The sequence below is a fragment of the Homo sapiens genome, chromosome 12 (assembly GCF_000001405.40).
Source record: "Homo sapiens chromosome 12, GRCh38.p14 Primary Assembly".
Lineage (NCBI taxonomy): Eukaryota > Metazoa > Chordata > Mammalia > Primates > Hominidae > Homo > Homo sapiens.
In genome coordinates, this window is record NC_000012.12 from 80,118,700 (window position 1) to 80,133,822 (window position 15,123).

Below are 15,123 nucleotides of genomic sequence, written 5' to 3' on the forward strand. Positions count from 1 at the left end.
CTCTTATTGCATGTAAGCTAACATTTTGTACCAGTGAGAACATATTTTGGTAGGAAAAAGATGAAAGCTAAAAATAGTATACTGGAAAAGTCATTTTATCAAGCATATTCTGACTGAGAGAGGTCCTAAAACTCTTGTCTTAAGAAATGTTTAATCTTAGATCTGTTTTTTTTTTTTTTTGGTCATAAGAAGGAGAAGAATTGCTCTTTGATATTGATATTGGATATTAAGCAAGGTTTCTGGTTTCAAAGGAAATAGGATTTTATTTATCGAGAAGAGGCCTGCTCATAGAGAGGAAGCTGGCTAATTTTGGCCTATTTCCCTGGAATCACAATTTCCTATCTGATGGGAATTTGAGGAGCATGATTGTTTATATTCTAGAAAAGACAGTGGGAAGAAGAGAGGAAACAGCATCAAGGGGCTGACCTTTTGACCCAGCTGACAGCTACTGAATCCAAGATTTTAGAATTAGAATTGCAGGGCATTGGGAGTGCATCTTCCTAAGGCCAGTGAAATACGATTCTGAGTTCTATGAAGAATGCAAGACTCTCTCTTGACTATCTCTTGAGCCTGTTCTCTTTATCATTTCTCTTACTTCTTACTCTGTAAGCAGTCAGAAGCAGTCAATAGTTCACAGTCAGAAGGGTAAATGGCACAGCTTGTTAGCTGGTCTCCTTGCCCCTAAATTCAGCCTGGCTTCAGTTCACCCTGCAGTCTGCTGCTAGTGTTATAATTGCAATGGCAGAGATTGTCTATAATAGAGATTGTATATAATATAATCACAATGTCGGCCGTTGTGATTACAACACTAGCAGCAGACCGCAGGGTGCAATAATGTGAACCCTCTGCTTATAAACCTTTGTTGTCTTGCTGTTGTTTATAGGAAAGTGCCTAATGCCCTTAACTTGACCTTTCCCATCAGAGTTAGTGGCCCCTTCCCCCATGTACTCTGTTACTGTATTATGCTGATTTGTTGACATGGCATTCTCACACTTACCCAGTGAGTTTCATAAAGGCAGATACTATGTCTTAGTTATCTGTGTGCTTTCATCCTTTAATACAATTTTTTTGTACATGGTAGGTATTCATTAAATTCTTCAATTTTAAAATACTACATGGTAAACCAGATTATGTTCACTCTACTCATATGATGTAATTCAATTCAGGGACTACTGAATACCTTTTATGTTTCAAAAACTTTCTTAGATTCATGATTTTATGGAATTAATAATTTTTTCATCAGTTGTCTTTAGAGACTGAGGTTGATTTGTGTTTGTTTTCCTTTTAAAATAGTTTCTCTTCTCTTAGAAAGCAATAGTTCAATTCTTTTGATCTTATTAAATGAAGCTCTTTAGACTTTTTACCATTTTTTTTTTCTGGAGTAGCAGAGTTTGAATATGCTGGTTATCTTTGAGCTTGTGTCTTTAGCTTGATTATTTCACCACAACATTTGGCCAATCATAGGATGGGGTAGCTGGGGTGATAGATTTCTAATTTTCTTCTTCTTAACATCTTTTTTCAGATAATGCAAAAAGATGTGTGCCAAGTTATATCAAAGCAACTGCAAGATTTACTGACATAATGACAACAAATATCATTTAATTAGAGTTTCTAAGTATGCCAGGCACTATGCTGAATCCTAGCTGGGTTATTTTATTTAATATTCATCACATTCACCTTGTGAATGACAGCATAAAGGATTAAAAAAAAGTTACATACCTGTTGTTATATAATTAGCAAGCAGCAACACATAAAAGATTTAAACTCAACTCTGATTCTTGAGCCCAGATTTTTCCACTACTTCCAGTATTTCCTATACTTGAATAATGTGCAAACTTCTTGAAAAAAAATCCTAAGGATTCTCTCTCATTGGAGGATCTCTCCAAAAATCCAAGTATGAGAAATACTGATTTAAGAAATTAAAGTTTTAACCTATGGAAATGCCTTTCAATATGAATATTGCTACACAAGAGAAGTTTTAGATTTTTAATGCGGTAAGCTGACTTGTTAAAAGATTCCCTCGATATAAAAACACAAACTATACAAATCTCACCTCTTCATGAATTTGTCTGCAGAGTTGGGTTTATAGGCAGTGACAGAACCCAGGGACTATCTCTACCCCTGTAGTAGACACTATGGAGCATAGTCCAGATCCTGCTTTCAGAACAAAGACCCTTATTCCCCTGAGAACCAGAAGTGTCCAGTGCTGAGAGTTCACAACTGATTCCTTCCCCAAGAAATTCTTTTGGCTGAGCAAGTTTATAACCCATTCTTGGAGGCAGCATATTTCCTATGACTAGTTATTTAGGGTAGGGTGTGTGGAGGGACAAAGGCCGAGCTCCTTGCTTCAATTCAGCTCAGGTCTGAGGGGATATTCAAGCTTCAGAGAACTGTGTGAGAAGGGCTGAGGCCTCTGTTACAACTGCCTTGGAGGTCAACCTCTCCCTCTGCCCTGTCCTGCTTTCCTCACTCCTTTACAAGCATTATTGCTGAGAATACTTCATAATAAACCACCTGTTTGTGAATATCTGGCTCAGGAACAAGGAGACTCATGACAATCTCTAAAGCCACCTCAAGGAAACACTAAATAAAAACAGAACGATTTCTATGTGTATGCAGCTTAAGACAAGACTACAAAGGCTACCTTTCAAGCAGACCGTTGCCTCCTCAGCTCCTCCTTCAGATATTTTGGAGAAAAAACACAAGAACTTTTGACTCTAACACACTGCAAGTATAGACATTAAGTATCTGCAACAACTTCCTCATCCTTAGACACCATTATATAGAAGTCTCTAATCCCTCCCTAGAGCAGAGAGTCTATATAACACAAACTGGATTCATACAGTTTAGACAAAATCAACCACCCCACGAAACAAAACAAAATAAAAAACCAAACCATAATAGCAGTTTTGATTATCTTGTTTGGTTTTCTAATTGGCCAAGTAAATAGAAAAATTGACACTAAAACACTTCTCTTCGTATCATGTAGATTGTCTAAAATTAAAATGTAATATTTAGGCTAACACAGCTTAACTGACATTATGAGGATGGTAGAATCATTTAAACCCATAGTGGGAGGTTCTTCGTGGGTTTATGTGGGACTACTGGCCAATCCTTTTATCCTTTAGTAATCTTAAGCAGGAACAATTTGTATTGAGTTCCAGTAATTGGAGGTGTGCCTGAGTTGCTGAGGAGTAAGAATGCAAGAAATGCACAGAGAAATGCACAGTGACACACACTTATAATTTGTACTTTATTTCAGAACATGATGTTGTAAACACGAGAAAGAGATGAGTGCAAAATCATCATATGGCCAATATAAATAATTCAAGCACCAAATCCATCTGAGGCTCAAACTGTCTCATTTGAATCATTTTTGATTAAGAAAAATACCACAAAAAATGAACAATTGCCAAATCCATCCTTTTCAAAACTTTGAGTTGTTTAACTAACTAAAAAGAAAAAAAAGTACTTGAGATCACAGTTAGAATTAATATACATATATACCTCTACCTTCTGAACTTAGTTCTAGGATAAAATTCCAATGTATAAGCAAAAAAAGAAATAAATACACTGTCACATCAAGATCAAAATAATTTTAAGTGTCCCTGTGTTTCCTTTATGCAACCATTATGACATACTGGAATAATCAATGAAAGACAAAAATAATTGTTCTTTTTCATTTAACTGTGCTATGGCAAAAAGAAAATGAGACTAGCAGTCAGGGAAGAAGTTAGGAATAAGATGCAATACAAGATACTTTGTATCATTAATTATTAGTATTATTATAGAAATGAAGAGGAAAACTCTTATCTGGTTAAGTTGTGGCAGCTGAGAAAAAATCCAGATGTAAATTCAGAAGATAATTTCTTTTCATAGTCTTTACTGACTATGTTTATAGAAGTAAATGTCAAGGTAAGCTTGGCAAGAAGCAAAAGAAATGAGGCACATTTCTCTAGTGTCATTCCCCAGATGCTGTCTTTTACCTTTCTGAGTATGCACGAGTCTGACACTGGGTTTCTGCTTCTTTATGGAAACAGTATGCAAACACTCAAATAACAGCAGGATAGTCATTTTTCATATATGCTTTGTTTTCATTTCTATGACTTGGAAAGACCAAGTTTCCAAATGCAGAAATCTATGCAGTTGCTCTGCAAGTTGAGTCCTTGCTTGCACTCTGGATTTTATTTTTATTTTTTTATTTTTATTTTTTATTTTTTCTCCCTCTTGCTCACTTTCCCTGGAGTCCAGAGCCTGAACCAGGCTCCAGGTAAGAGGACAGAGTGAATGCCTTTTGTTTCATTAACATTTTCCTTCACCTGGTGATTTCTTTTCTTTTTTTTTTTAATTATACTTTAAGTTTTAGGGTACATGTGCACAACGTGCAGATTTGTTACATATGTATACATGTGCCATGCTGGTGTGCTGCACCCAATAACTCATCATTTAACATTAGGTATATCTCCTAATGCTATCCCTCCCCCTTCCCCCACCCCACAACAGGCCCCAGTGTGTGATATTCCCCTTCCTGTGTCCATGTGTTCTCCTTGTTCAATTCCCACCTATGAGTGAGAACATGTGGTGTTTGGGTTTTTGTCCTTGCGATAGTTTGCTGAGAATGATGGTTTCCAGCATCATCCATGTTTGTACAAAGGACATGAACTCATCATTTTTTAAGGCTGTGTAGTATTCTATGGTGTATATGTGCCACATTTTCTTAATCCAGTCTATCATTGTTGGACATTTGGGTTGGTTCCAAGTCTTTGCTATTGTGAATAGTGCTGCAATAAACATACGTGTGCATGTGCCTTTATAGCAGCATGATTTATAATCCTTTGGGTATATACCCAGTCAGTAATGGCATGGCTGGGTCAAATGGTATTTCTAGTTCTAGATCCCTGAGGAATCGCCCCACTGACTTCCACAATGGTTGAACTAGTTTATAGTCCCACCAACAGTGTAAAAGTGTTCCCATTTCTCCACATCCTCTCCAGCACCTGTTGTTTCCTGACTTTTTAATGATTGCCATTCTAACTGGTGTGAGATGGTATCTCATTGTGGTTTTGATTTGCATTTCTCTGATGGCCAGTGATGATGAGCATTTTTTCATGTGTCTTTTGGCTACATAAATGTCTTCTTTTGAGAAGTATCTGTTCATATCCTTCGCCCACTTTTTGATGGGGTTGTTTGTTTTTTTCTTGTAAATTTGTTTGAGTTCATTGTAGATTCTGGATATTAGCTCTTTGTCAGATGAGTAGATTGCAAAAATTTTCTCCCATTCTGTAGGTTGCCTGCTCCCTCTGATGGTAGTTTCTTTCGCTGTGCAGAAGCTATTTCATTTAACTAGATCCCATTTGTCAATTTGGCTTTTATTGCCATCGCTTTTGGTGTTTTAGACATGAAGTCCTTGCCCATGCCTATGTCCCGAATGGTGTTGCCTAGGTTTTCTTCTAGGGTTTTTATGGTTTTATGTCTAACATTTAAGTCTTTAATCCATCTTGAATTAATTTTTGTATAAGGTGTAAGGAAGGGATCCAGTTTCAGCTTTCTGCATATGTCTAGCCAGTTTTCCCAGCACCATTTATTAAATAGGGAATCCTTTCCCCATTGCTTGTTTTTGTGAGGTTTGTCGAAGATCAGATAGTTGTAGATATGCGGTATTAATTCTGAGGGCTCTGTTCTGTTCCATTGGTCTATATCTCTGTTTTGGTACCAGTACCATGCTGTTTTGGTTACTGTAGCCTTGTAGTATGGTTTGAAGTCAGGTAGCATGATGCCTCCAGCTTTGTTCTTTTGGCTTAGGATTGACTTGGTGATGTGGGCTCTTTTTTGGTTCTATATGAACTTTAAAGTAGTTTTTTCCAATTCTGTGAAGAAAGGCATTGGTAGCTTGATGGGGATGGCATTGAATCTATAAATTACCTTGGGCAATACGGCCATTTTCATGATATTGATTCTCCCTACCCATGAGCATAGAATGTTCTTCCATTTGTTTGTATCCTCTTTTATTTCCTTGAGCAGTGGTTTGTAGTTCTCCTTGAAGAGGTCCTTCACATCCCTTGTAAGTTGGATTCCTAGGTATTTTATTCTCTTTGAAGCAATTGTGAATGGGAGTTCACTCATGATTTGGCTCTCTGTTTGTCTGTTATTGGTGTATAAGAATGCTTGTGATTTTCGTACATTGATTTTGTATCCTGAGACTTTGCTGAAGTTGCTTATCAGCTGAAGGAGATTTTGGGCTGAGACAATGGGGTTTTCTAGATACACAATCATGTCATCTGCAAACAGGGACAATTTGACTTCCTCTTTTCCTAATTGAATACCCTTTATTCCCTTCTCCTGCCTAATGGCCCTGGCCAGACTTCCAATAGTATATTGAATAGGAGTGGTGAGGGAGGGCATCCCTGTCTTGTGCTGGTTTTCAAAGGGAATGCTTCCAGGTTCTGCCCATTCAGTATGATATTGGCTGTGGGTTTGTCATAGATAGCTCTTATTATTTTGAGATATGTCCCATCAATACCTAATTTATTGAGAGTTTTTAGCATGAAGGGTTGTTGAATTTTGTCAAAGGCCTTTTCTGCATCTATTGAGATAATCATGTGGCTTTTGTCATTGGTTCTGTTTATATGCTGGATTACGTTTATTGATTTGCATATGTTGAATCAGCCTTGCATCCCAGGGATGAAGCCCACTTGATCATGGTGGATAAGCTTTTTGATGTGCTGCTGGATTCAGTTTGCCAGTATTTTATTGAGGATTTTTGCATCGATGTTCATCAGGGATATTGGTCTAAAATTCTCTTTTTTGATTGTGTCTCTGCCAGGCTTTGGTATCAGGATGATGCTGGCCTCATAAAATGAGTTAAGGAGGATTCTCTCTTTTTCTATTGTTTGGAATAGTTTCAGAAGGAATGGTACCAGCTCCTCCTTGTACCTCTGGTAGAATTCGGCTGTGAATCCATCTGGTCCTGGACTTTTTTTGGTTGGTAAGCTATTAATTATTGCCTCAATTTCAGAGCCTGTTATTGGTCTATTCAGAGATTCAACTTCTTCCTGGTTTAGTCTTCGGAGGGTGTATGTGTTGAGGAATTTATCCGTTTCTTCTAGATTTTCTAGTTTATTTGTGTAAAGGTGTTTATAGTATTCTCTGATGGTAGTTTTTATTTCTGTGGGATCGGTGGTGATATCCCCTTTATCATTTTTTTATTACATCTATTTGATTCTTCTCTCTTTTCTTCTTAATTAGTCTTGCTAGCAGTCTATCAATTTTGTTGATCTTTTCAAAAAACAAGCTCCTGGAATCATTGATTTTTTGAAGGGTTTTTTGTGTCCCTATTTCCTTCAGTTCTGCTCTGATCTTAGTTATTTCTTGCCTTCTGCTAGCTTTTGAGTGTGTTTGCTCTTGCTTCTCTAGTTCTTTTAATTGTGATGTTAGGCTATCAGTTTTAGATCTTTCCTGCTTTCTCTTGTGGGCATTTAGTGCTGTAAATTTCCCTCTACACACTGCTTTGAATGTGTCCTAGAGATTCTGGTATATTGTGTCTTTGTTCTCGTTGGTTTCAAAGAACATCTTTATTTCTGCCTTCATTTCATTATGTACCCAGTAGTCATTCAGGAGCAGGTTGTTCAGTTTCCATGTAGTTGAGCGGTTTTGAGTGAGTTTCTTAATCCTGAATTCTAGTTTGATTGCACTGTGGTCTAAGAGACAGTTTGTTATAATCTCTCTTCTTTTACATTTGCTGAGGAGTGCTTTACTTCCAACTATGTGGTCAATTTTGGAATAGGTGTGGTGTGGTGCTGAAAAGAATGTATATTCTGTTGATTTGGGGTGGAGAGTTCTGTAGATGTCTATTGGGTCCGCTTGGTGCAGAGCTGAGTTCAATTCCTGGGTATCCTTGTTAACTTTCTGTCTCATTGATCTGTCTAATATTGACAGTGGGGTGTTAACATCTCCCGTTATTATTGTGTGGGAGTCTAAGCCTCTTTGTAGGTCTCTAAGGACTTGCTTTATGAATCTGGGTGCTCTTGTATTGGGTGCATATATATTTAGGATAGTTAGCTCTTCTTGTTGAATTGATCCCTTTACCATTATGTAATGGCCTTCTTTGTCTCTTTTGATCTTTGTTGGTTTAAAGTCTGTTTTATCAGAGAACTAGGATTGCAACCCCTGCCTTTTTTTGTTTTCCATTTGCTTGGTAGATCTTCCTCCACCCTTTTATTTTGAGCCTACGTGTGTCTCTGCACATGAGATGGGTTTCCTGAATACAGCACACTGATGGGTCTTGACTCTTTATCCAATTTGCCAGTCCGTGTCTTTTAATTGGAGCATTTAGCCTATTTACATTTAAGGTTGATATTGTTATGTGTGAATTTGATCCTGTCATTGTGATGTTAGCTGGTTATTTTGCACGTTAGTTGATGCAGTTTCTTCCTAGCCTTGATGGTCTTTACAATTTGGCATGTTTTTGCAGTGGCTGGTACCGGTTTTTCCTTTCCATGTTTAGTGCTTCCTTCAGGAGCTCTTTTAGGGCAGGCCTGGTGGTGACAAAATCTCTCAACATTTGCTTGTCTGTAAAGTATTTTATTTCTCCTTCACTTATGAAGCTTAGTTTGGCTGGATATGAAATTCTGGGTTGCAAATTCTTTTCTTTAAGAATGTTGAATATTGGCCCCCACTCTCTTCTGTCTTGTAGAGTTTCTGCCGAGAGATCCGCTGTTAGTCTGATGGGCTTCCCTTTGTGGGTAACCCACCTTTCTCTCTGGCTGCCCTTAACATTTTTCCTTCATTTCAACTTTGGTGAATCTGACAATTGTGTGTCTTGGAGTTGCTCTTCTCGAGGAGTATCTTTGTGGCATTCTCTGTATTTCCTGAATCTGAATGTTGGCCTGCCTTGCTAGATTGGGGAAGTTCTCCTGCATAATATCCTGCAGAGTGTTTTCCAACTTGGTTCCATTCTCTCCGTCATTTTCAGGTACACCAATCAGATGTAGATTTGGTCTTTTCACATAGTCCCATATTTCTTGGAGGCTTTGCTCATTTCTTTTTATTCTTTTTTCTCTAAACTTCTTTATTTGCTTCATTTCATTTATTTGATCTTCCATCACTGATACCCTTTCTTCCAGTTGATAGAGTCAGCTACTGAGGCTTGTGCATGCATCACGTAGTTCTCGTGCCATGGTTTTTAGCTCCATCAGGTCCTTTAAGGACTTCTCTGCATTGGTTATTCTAGTTAGCCATTCATCTAATCTTTTTTCAAGGTTTTTGACTTCTTTGCCATGGGTTCAAACTTCCTCCTTTAGCTTGGAGTAGTTTGATCGTCTGAAGCCTTCTTCTATCAACTTGTCAAAGTCATTTTCCATCCAGCTTTGTTCCGTTGCTGGTGAGGACCTGTGTTCCTTTGGAGGAGGAGAGGAGCTCTGATTTTTAGAATTTTCAGTTTTTCTGCTCTGTTTTTTCCCCATCTTTGTGGTTTTATCTACCTTTTGTCTTTGATGATGGTGATGTACAGATGGGGTTTTGGTGTGGATGTCCTTTCTGTTTGTTAGTTTTCCTTCTAACAGTCAGGACCCTCAGCTGCAGGTCTGCTGGAGTTTGCTGGAGGTCCACTCCAGACCCTGTTTGCCTGGGTTTCAGCAGCGGAGGCTGCAGAACAGTGGATATTGGTGAACAGCAAATGTTGCTGCCTGATCGTTCCTCTGGAAGTTTTGTCTCAGAGGAGTACCCGGCTATGTGAGGTGTCAGTCTGCCCCTACTGGGAGATGCCTCCCAGTTAGGGTACTCGGGGGTCAGGGACCCACTTGAGGAGGCAGTCTGCCTGTTCTCAGATCTCCAGCTGCGTGCTGGGAGAACCACTACTCTCTTCAAAGCTGTCAGACAGGGACATTTAAGTCTGCAGAGGTTTCTGCTGTCTTTTGTTTGGCTATGCCCTGCCCACAGAGGTGGAGTCTACAGAGGCAGGCAGGCCTCCATGAGCTGTGGTAGGCTCCACCTAGTTCGAGCTTCCTGGCTGCTTTGTTTACCTAGTCAAGCTTTGGCAATGTCGGGCACCCGTCCCCCAGCCTCGCTGCCGCCTTGCCGTTTGATCTCAGACTGCTGTGCTAGCAATGAGCGAGGCTTCGTAGGCATAGGACCCTCTGAGCCAGGTGCGGGATACAATCTCCTGGTGTGCCGTTTGCTAAGACCATTGGAAAAGCACAGTATTAGGGTGGGAGTGACCTGATTTTCCAGGTGCCATCTGTCACCCCTTTCCTTGGCTAGGAAAGGGAATTCCCTGACCCCTTGTGCTTCCTGGGTGAGGTGATGCCTCGCCCTGCTTTGGCTCACGCTCGGTGCACTGCACCCACTGTCCTGCACCCACTGTCTGACAATCCCCAGTGAGATGAACCCAGTACCTCACTTGGAAATGCAGAAGTCATTCGACTTCTGCGTCGCTCATGCTGGGAGCTGTAGACCGGAGCTGTTCCTATTCGGCCATCTTGGCTCCACCCACCTGCACTCTGGATTTTATAAAGCAATTAGTTTTAAATATGCTCTTGGAAGAGAGAGTGTAAGATTTGAATTAAAAACCGTTTTCTCTGTGTCTTGCTTCCATATTGAACAAAACCAACTTCTTTTAGAGAGTAGAAAGGTGTGAATAAGACTTGTCAATACTTTGGCCTTTTTGTGTTTTAGTCATATTTTTCTATGTTTATGAGACAGCATCTATCTAATCAACTATTATGTCATAACTTGTCAAGCCAACAGGTGTTAACAGAAGGAAATTGTCCCAGTCTCTTTTACAATAAGTTGGCTTTTAATGTCAAAAATATCAACTAATACTACTAAGAAGAAACACCATTTTACAGTTTACTTTTTGTTTTGTAATGAGGGTGGTACAACCCTTCCTCTTGATACCTTGAATCACTATCTCATTTTTTTTTTCTTTTACATTTTCTTCACTTCTGAACTTTCCTAAAATACTTTGTTACCTCTGTTTCTTCACTGCCTACTCATTCTTAATTTCCCTGTGGTCTGAATTCAGCCCCATCACTTTCCTGAAATTTTATTCATAGTCACCTGTGACCTTTTAGAAAACAAATCTAAAAACTTTTTTTTAACTCAGTCATTTTTTTGACCTCTTTATAGCATTTGCTTTATTGACTGCCCTCATTGCTTTGAAACTCTTCTTTGTTCCCTTAACTTCCATGACCCCATATAAAACTGATTCTTACAACCAGCAGCATATCCTTTCAATTTCTCTGTTTTGGTCATGGCTAAAAACCATGAACTTATTTTTGATTTATCTCCATTCTTTTCCTCCAAGTCTTGCCTATTTTTCCTCTGTAATTTTCTATCTCCTTTTTTTTCTTCTGAAATATCCTATTACCACCCTTGTCCAAGTCTATGTCATACTTGTTCTTAACTGGTTTCTTTGTATTCAGTTTTTTCCTCATTCCAATCATTATAAAACTACTGCCAATTTTTTCCCCAAAACAATTTTTATTGAACAAGTCATTCCATCATGCCCTGTGTTTGGAAGAGGCTGGATTCAAGCCAGTTGGGAATGCATCTCTTCTGATAATATATTTCCCCTAAATTAGACAGACAAATTGTTCCAGCAAAGATGCAGAGAAAACACATCAGCATTTGTCTTGGATATAGATGCTGAGGCCAATTTAGTCTGAAATGTTGATTAGATTGCATGAGCTAAAGGTCAGAACTATGCTTTCAATGACAACTTGAAGAGTTGGAGGTTGGAATGGAGCCAATGAAAGAATGTGTTGAAGAATATAAGAGGCTCTAAACCAGAAAGAGCAGGCCAGTGTGAGAACAGACAAGGGAAGATGTTATACAAGTTCTCAAAGGAAATGGAAGTCAGGGGACTAGGGTGAGCAATTTTGGTTGATAAACTAGAGAGGGTGTGGGGATGAGAAGGGAGTGGCGAAGCTAAGTTCTACAGTATATGCTGTGATTTTTGCCTTAGGAATAAAGGTATGCTGACTGAGCTTATGAACACCAAAGAGGGGGGCAAATAATTTTCTAGGCTGATTTGCCAGAGAGCAGTTCTTCTTTGAATTCATTTATATGAACATGTTGTTTTCATCACATGAATCTAACAATTTTTCTTCAACCATTCCCACATATCTGCCATATTTCCTATCATGCTATGATCTTTCTTCTCTGCTTTCATGAGTTCAACCTTTCTTTTAAAATTCAGCTCATATTCTATCTGTATCATTTAATTTTTGATTTAAAACAATGGAAGCAAACACTGGCTAACTTAATTCCCCTTTACCTATTCATTCCCCCCAAAGGGTTTGGGGAGTCAGAGGTTACAGGAAGGATTCATGGAATCCCCAGAAGGCTGGAAGATCAGGGTTGAGACAGTCGGAACCAAGGAAGCTCTGGAAACTTAAGAAGTAGGAGGCACAGCAAGTCTCACGGCAAGAAGAGCTTGGTAAGGACTTGGTCACTACCACTACCGCTGCCATGACCTTGACCTCCAACTACCCCCTGTCTTTGCATCCTCCTTGAATTCAAAGTCCTACCCATAGAAAATCTGGTTAGCCCAGATTAAGTCACATGTCCATCCCTTGTCTGGTCCAGTTTGTGGAAGAGATCTCTGCTTCCATAGTGCATAGAGAACAATAGCTCCAACCAAGAGTATACATGCTGGAGGCTTTCCCAAAAGGGAGAATAGAATATTGTTAGGAAGAGGAGAGTCAGAGGCCCTGAGGGCAGGAACTTTATTTTTGTATTCTAATACTCCAAAAAGGACTTTGCACACAGCCTGTACAAAATAATTTTTATGAAAGATGATATTGACCAACTGTTCCATTTTCAGTGAATTATGTCCTATGAGAATCACCTGCATGTTTTATTTAGTTTAATATGGGATGAATCAAAGGAGGGTGACTGACATTTACTGCATATTTACTGTGTGCTAGGTACCATACAATTTTCTCTTGTAATAATAATGATAATAACAACAAATGGCATTTATTTAGCTTTATTATTATTATAACCTATGCATGAAACTCATTGATTTAGATACATTAGTTCATTTAATCCCTGTAAGAATCATTCAAGATAGATCTTATTGTCTTTTTTCTTTTCTTGCAGATATGAGTACTATTGGCTAGAGAAGTTTAGTAACTTTCCTGAAGTTTTACAGAAGATAAGTATAGAGTGGGAACTCAAAACTATTTCTGTCTGATTCCAAAGCCCTTTTAATATTTTGTATTGCTTAAGTAGCAAGAATAGAGTTTGTAAGAACATACAATATCAATAAATGTTTCATGTCCTTCATCATTAACTACTCCAGTTAGTATCAACCGGGAACTTACTTGGAATGTACATTCTCTGCCCCCTCAACAGACCTACTGAATCAAAAACTCTGGAGGTCAGGCCCAGAAATCTGTCTTTTGGCATACTTTCCAGGTGAGTCTGATGTATGCTAGGGTTTGAGAAGTACTGACCTACCTCCCTTCTCACTGTTTGTATCTTTATGTGGCACCACACCTATATAAGTTGTGCTGAACCTTTATAGTCTGATTATTGTATTATTTTATATGCCATCATTTAAACTTTATTTGTATTTTTTATTTTCCAATTTTGATTTTTAATTTATTTATCAGATGTAGTCTTATAGGCTACTCTTACTGAAGTCTCACATATATGACAAAAATATAAAAATATGTGTGGACTGTACATATAGGCTTCATATCTATTTGCCTAGTGTACTGAACTATTTTTCTCCTTTTTTTTCTCTGAAAATGTTTTATCTGCCGGGAGGTAAACAGAATGAGAAATGAAACTTAATCCATGCAGCTAAGACTCATCTCTGCTACTTCATACCCTTCCCTAGAGGAGCTAAATGTTTTAGACAGTGACTTTATATTACCTTCTCTTTCATCTCTTGCTGGAGTCTCAATGAAGGTATTAAACTATTAATTATGATTATATATTTTGCAAAATTTGCCTTGGATTCATTGAGAATCTGCCCAGGTAATCAAGATTCGACCACTTACAAATTAAATATTCATCATCTGTGCTCTAAAATGTAAAGATTGTCTGCTGATCACTTGGGCCACAACACTTTTCAAGACCAGGTAAATATTCTAAATGAACGAAGATTCTCTGCCCTGTTCCTCTCACCTGCATGTCAAGCAGGTTGAACATTATGAAGGTGGTTTTGAAGATAATGCTAGAATTTATGAATGTCTTCCCCCATTTTCAGCAGGGACATGAGTTGGGAAGGGCAAGATGAATACTTAGCTTTTCCTTCTTTGTGCATCTCTCCTGTTACTTTTGTTTAAAAAGTGCATTTTATTTAACTCTTTAATTCCATTAACTTATTTTAAGTTTAAAATACAAATGAAGTAACTAAATTTAATTATTTTTAATTGCCAAGATTAGGTCTAGTTACTTCTTCTTGTTATCTTTAAGGAAAACAATCTGAATGTTTATCACTAGGATCTTTCTTCTGTATTTAAAATTTCCTTGAAAAAAAAGAGGGCTCATTACCTTATTATTTTGTTATATTAAGTGCCTATGCTAGCACCTATTTAGGCAGTGTTTTTTTAGGCAATGATTATTGAATATGGGATTGAAAGTGTCTTCTAAATAAATGAACTATTATTATATGTCTCCTGAACTTTAAAATTTTTGAGATATATATTAGAGATGCTTATATATGAAATTTACTTGAAAATTAATGGAGCTGCACAGAAACTCTGATCACCTGCACTTGGTCTCTCTACAGTCTAATCATTCATTAACTTTTCAAATGTTTCTTTCTTCTTTATTTTTTGTTACTCAGGGTAAAATGTTTAGCATTCTGGTGTTTTTTCTTATCCATTGGCCTAAGGAAGATAAGAGAAACATGGAGCAGCCCAGGATACAACCTACAGCTTAGAGCTAAACTCATTCAAGCCCAGACTAGGTCAGCTAACCCCTAGACAATGCACAAATGTGTGATCAAGAAAAAAAAAAGGCTGGGTGTGGTGGCTCGTGCCTGTAATATCAGCACTTTGGTAGGCAGAGGTGGGTGGATTCCTTGAGCTCAGGAGTTCGAGACCAGTTTAAGCAACATGGCAACACCCTATCTCTACAAAAATACAAAAAATTAGCTGGCTTTTGTGG

At 38.2% G+C, this 15,123-nt stretch overlaps 1 protein-coding gene across 4 annotated transcripts in view; it reads left to right on the forward strand.

The window, feature by feature from the left end:
* Positions 1 to 15,123, forward strand: part of OTOGL (otogelin like) — a 281,344-nt gene that overhangs the window by 19,163 nt on the left and 247,058 nt on the right. Inside the window, exons 2-5 of one of the 4 annotated variants that reach the window (NM_001368062.3) lie at positions 12,294 to 12,436; positions 13,102 to 13,419; positions 13,774 to 14,090; positions 14,801 to 14,923. The exons of 1 other annotated variant lie outside the window; for it this stretch is intronic. The gene's annotated coding sequence lies outside the window, so the exon portion shown is untranslated. Of the gene's footprint in view, positions 1 to 11,677; positions 11,867 to 12,293; positions 12,437 to 13,101; positions 13,420 to 13,773; positions 14,091 to 14,800; positions 14,924 to 15,123 lie in introns of those variants that run through there. 2 more of the 4 variants (XM_005268802.4, NM_001378610.3) reach the window with 2 other exon arrangements.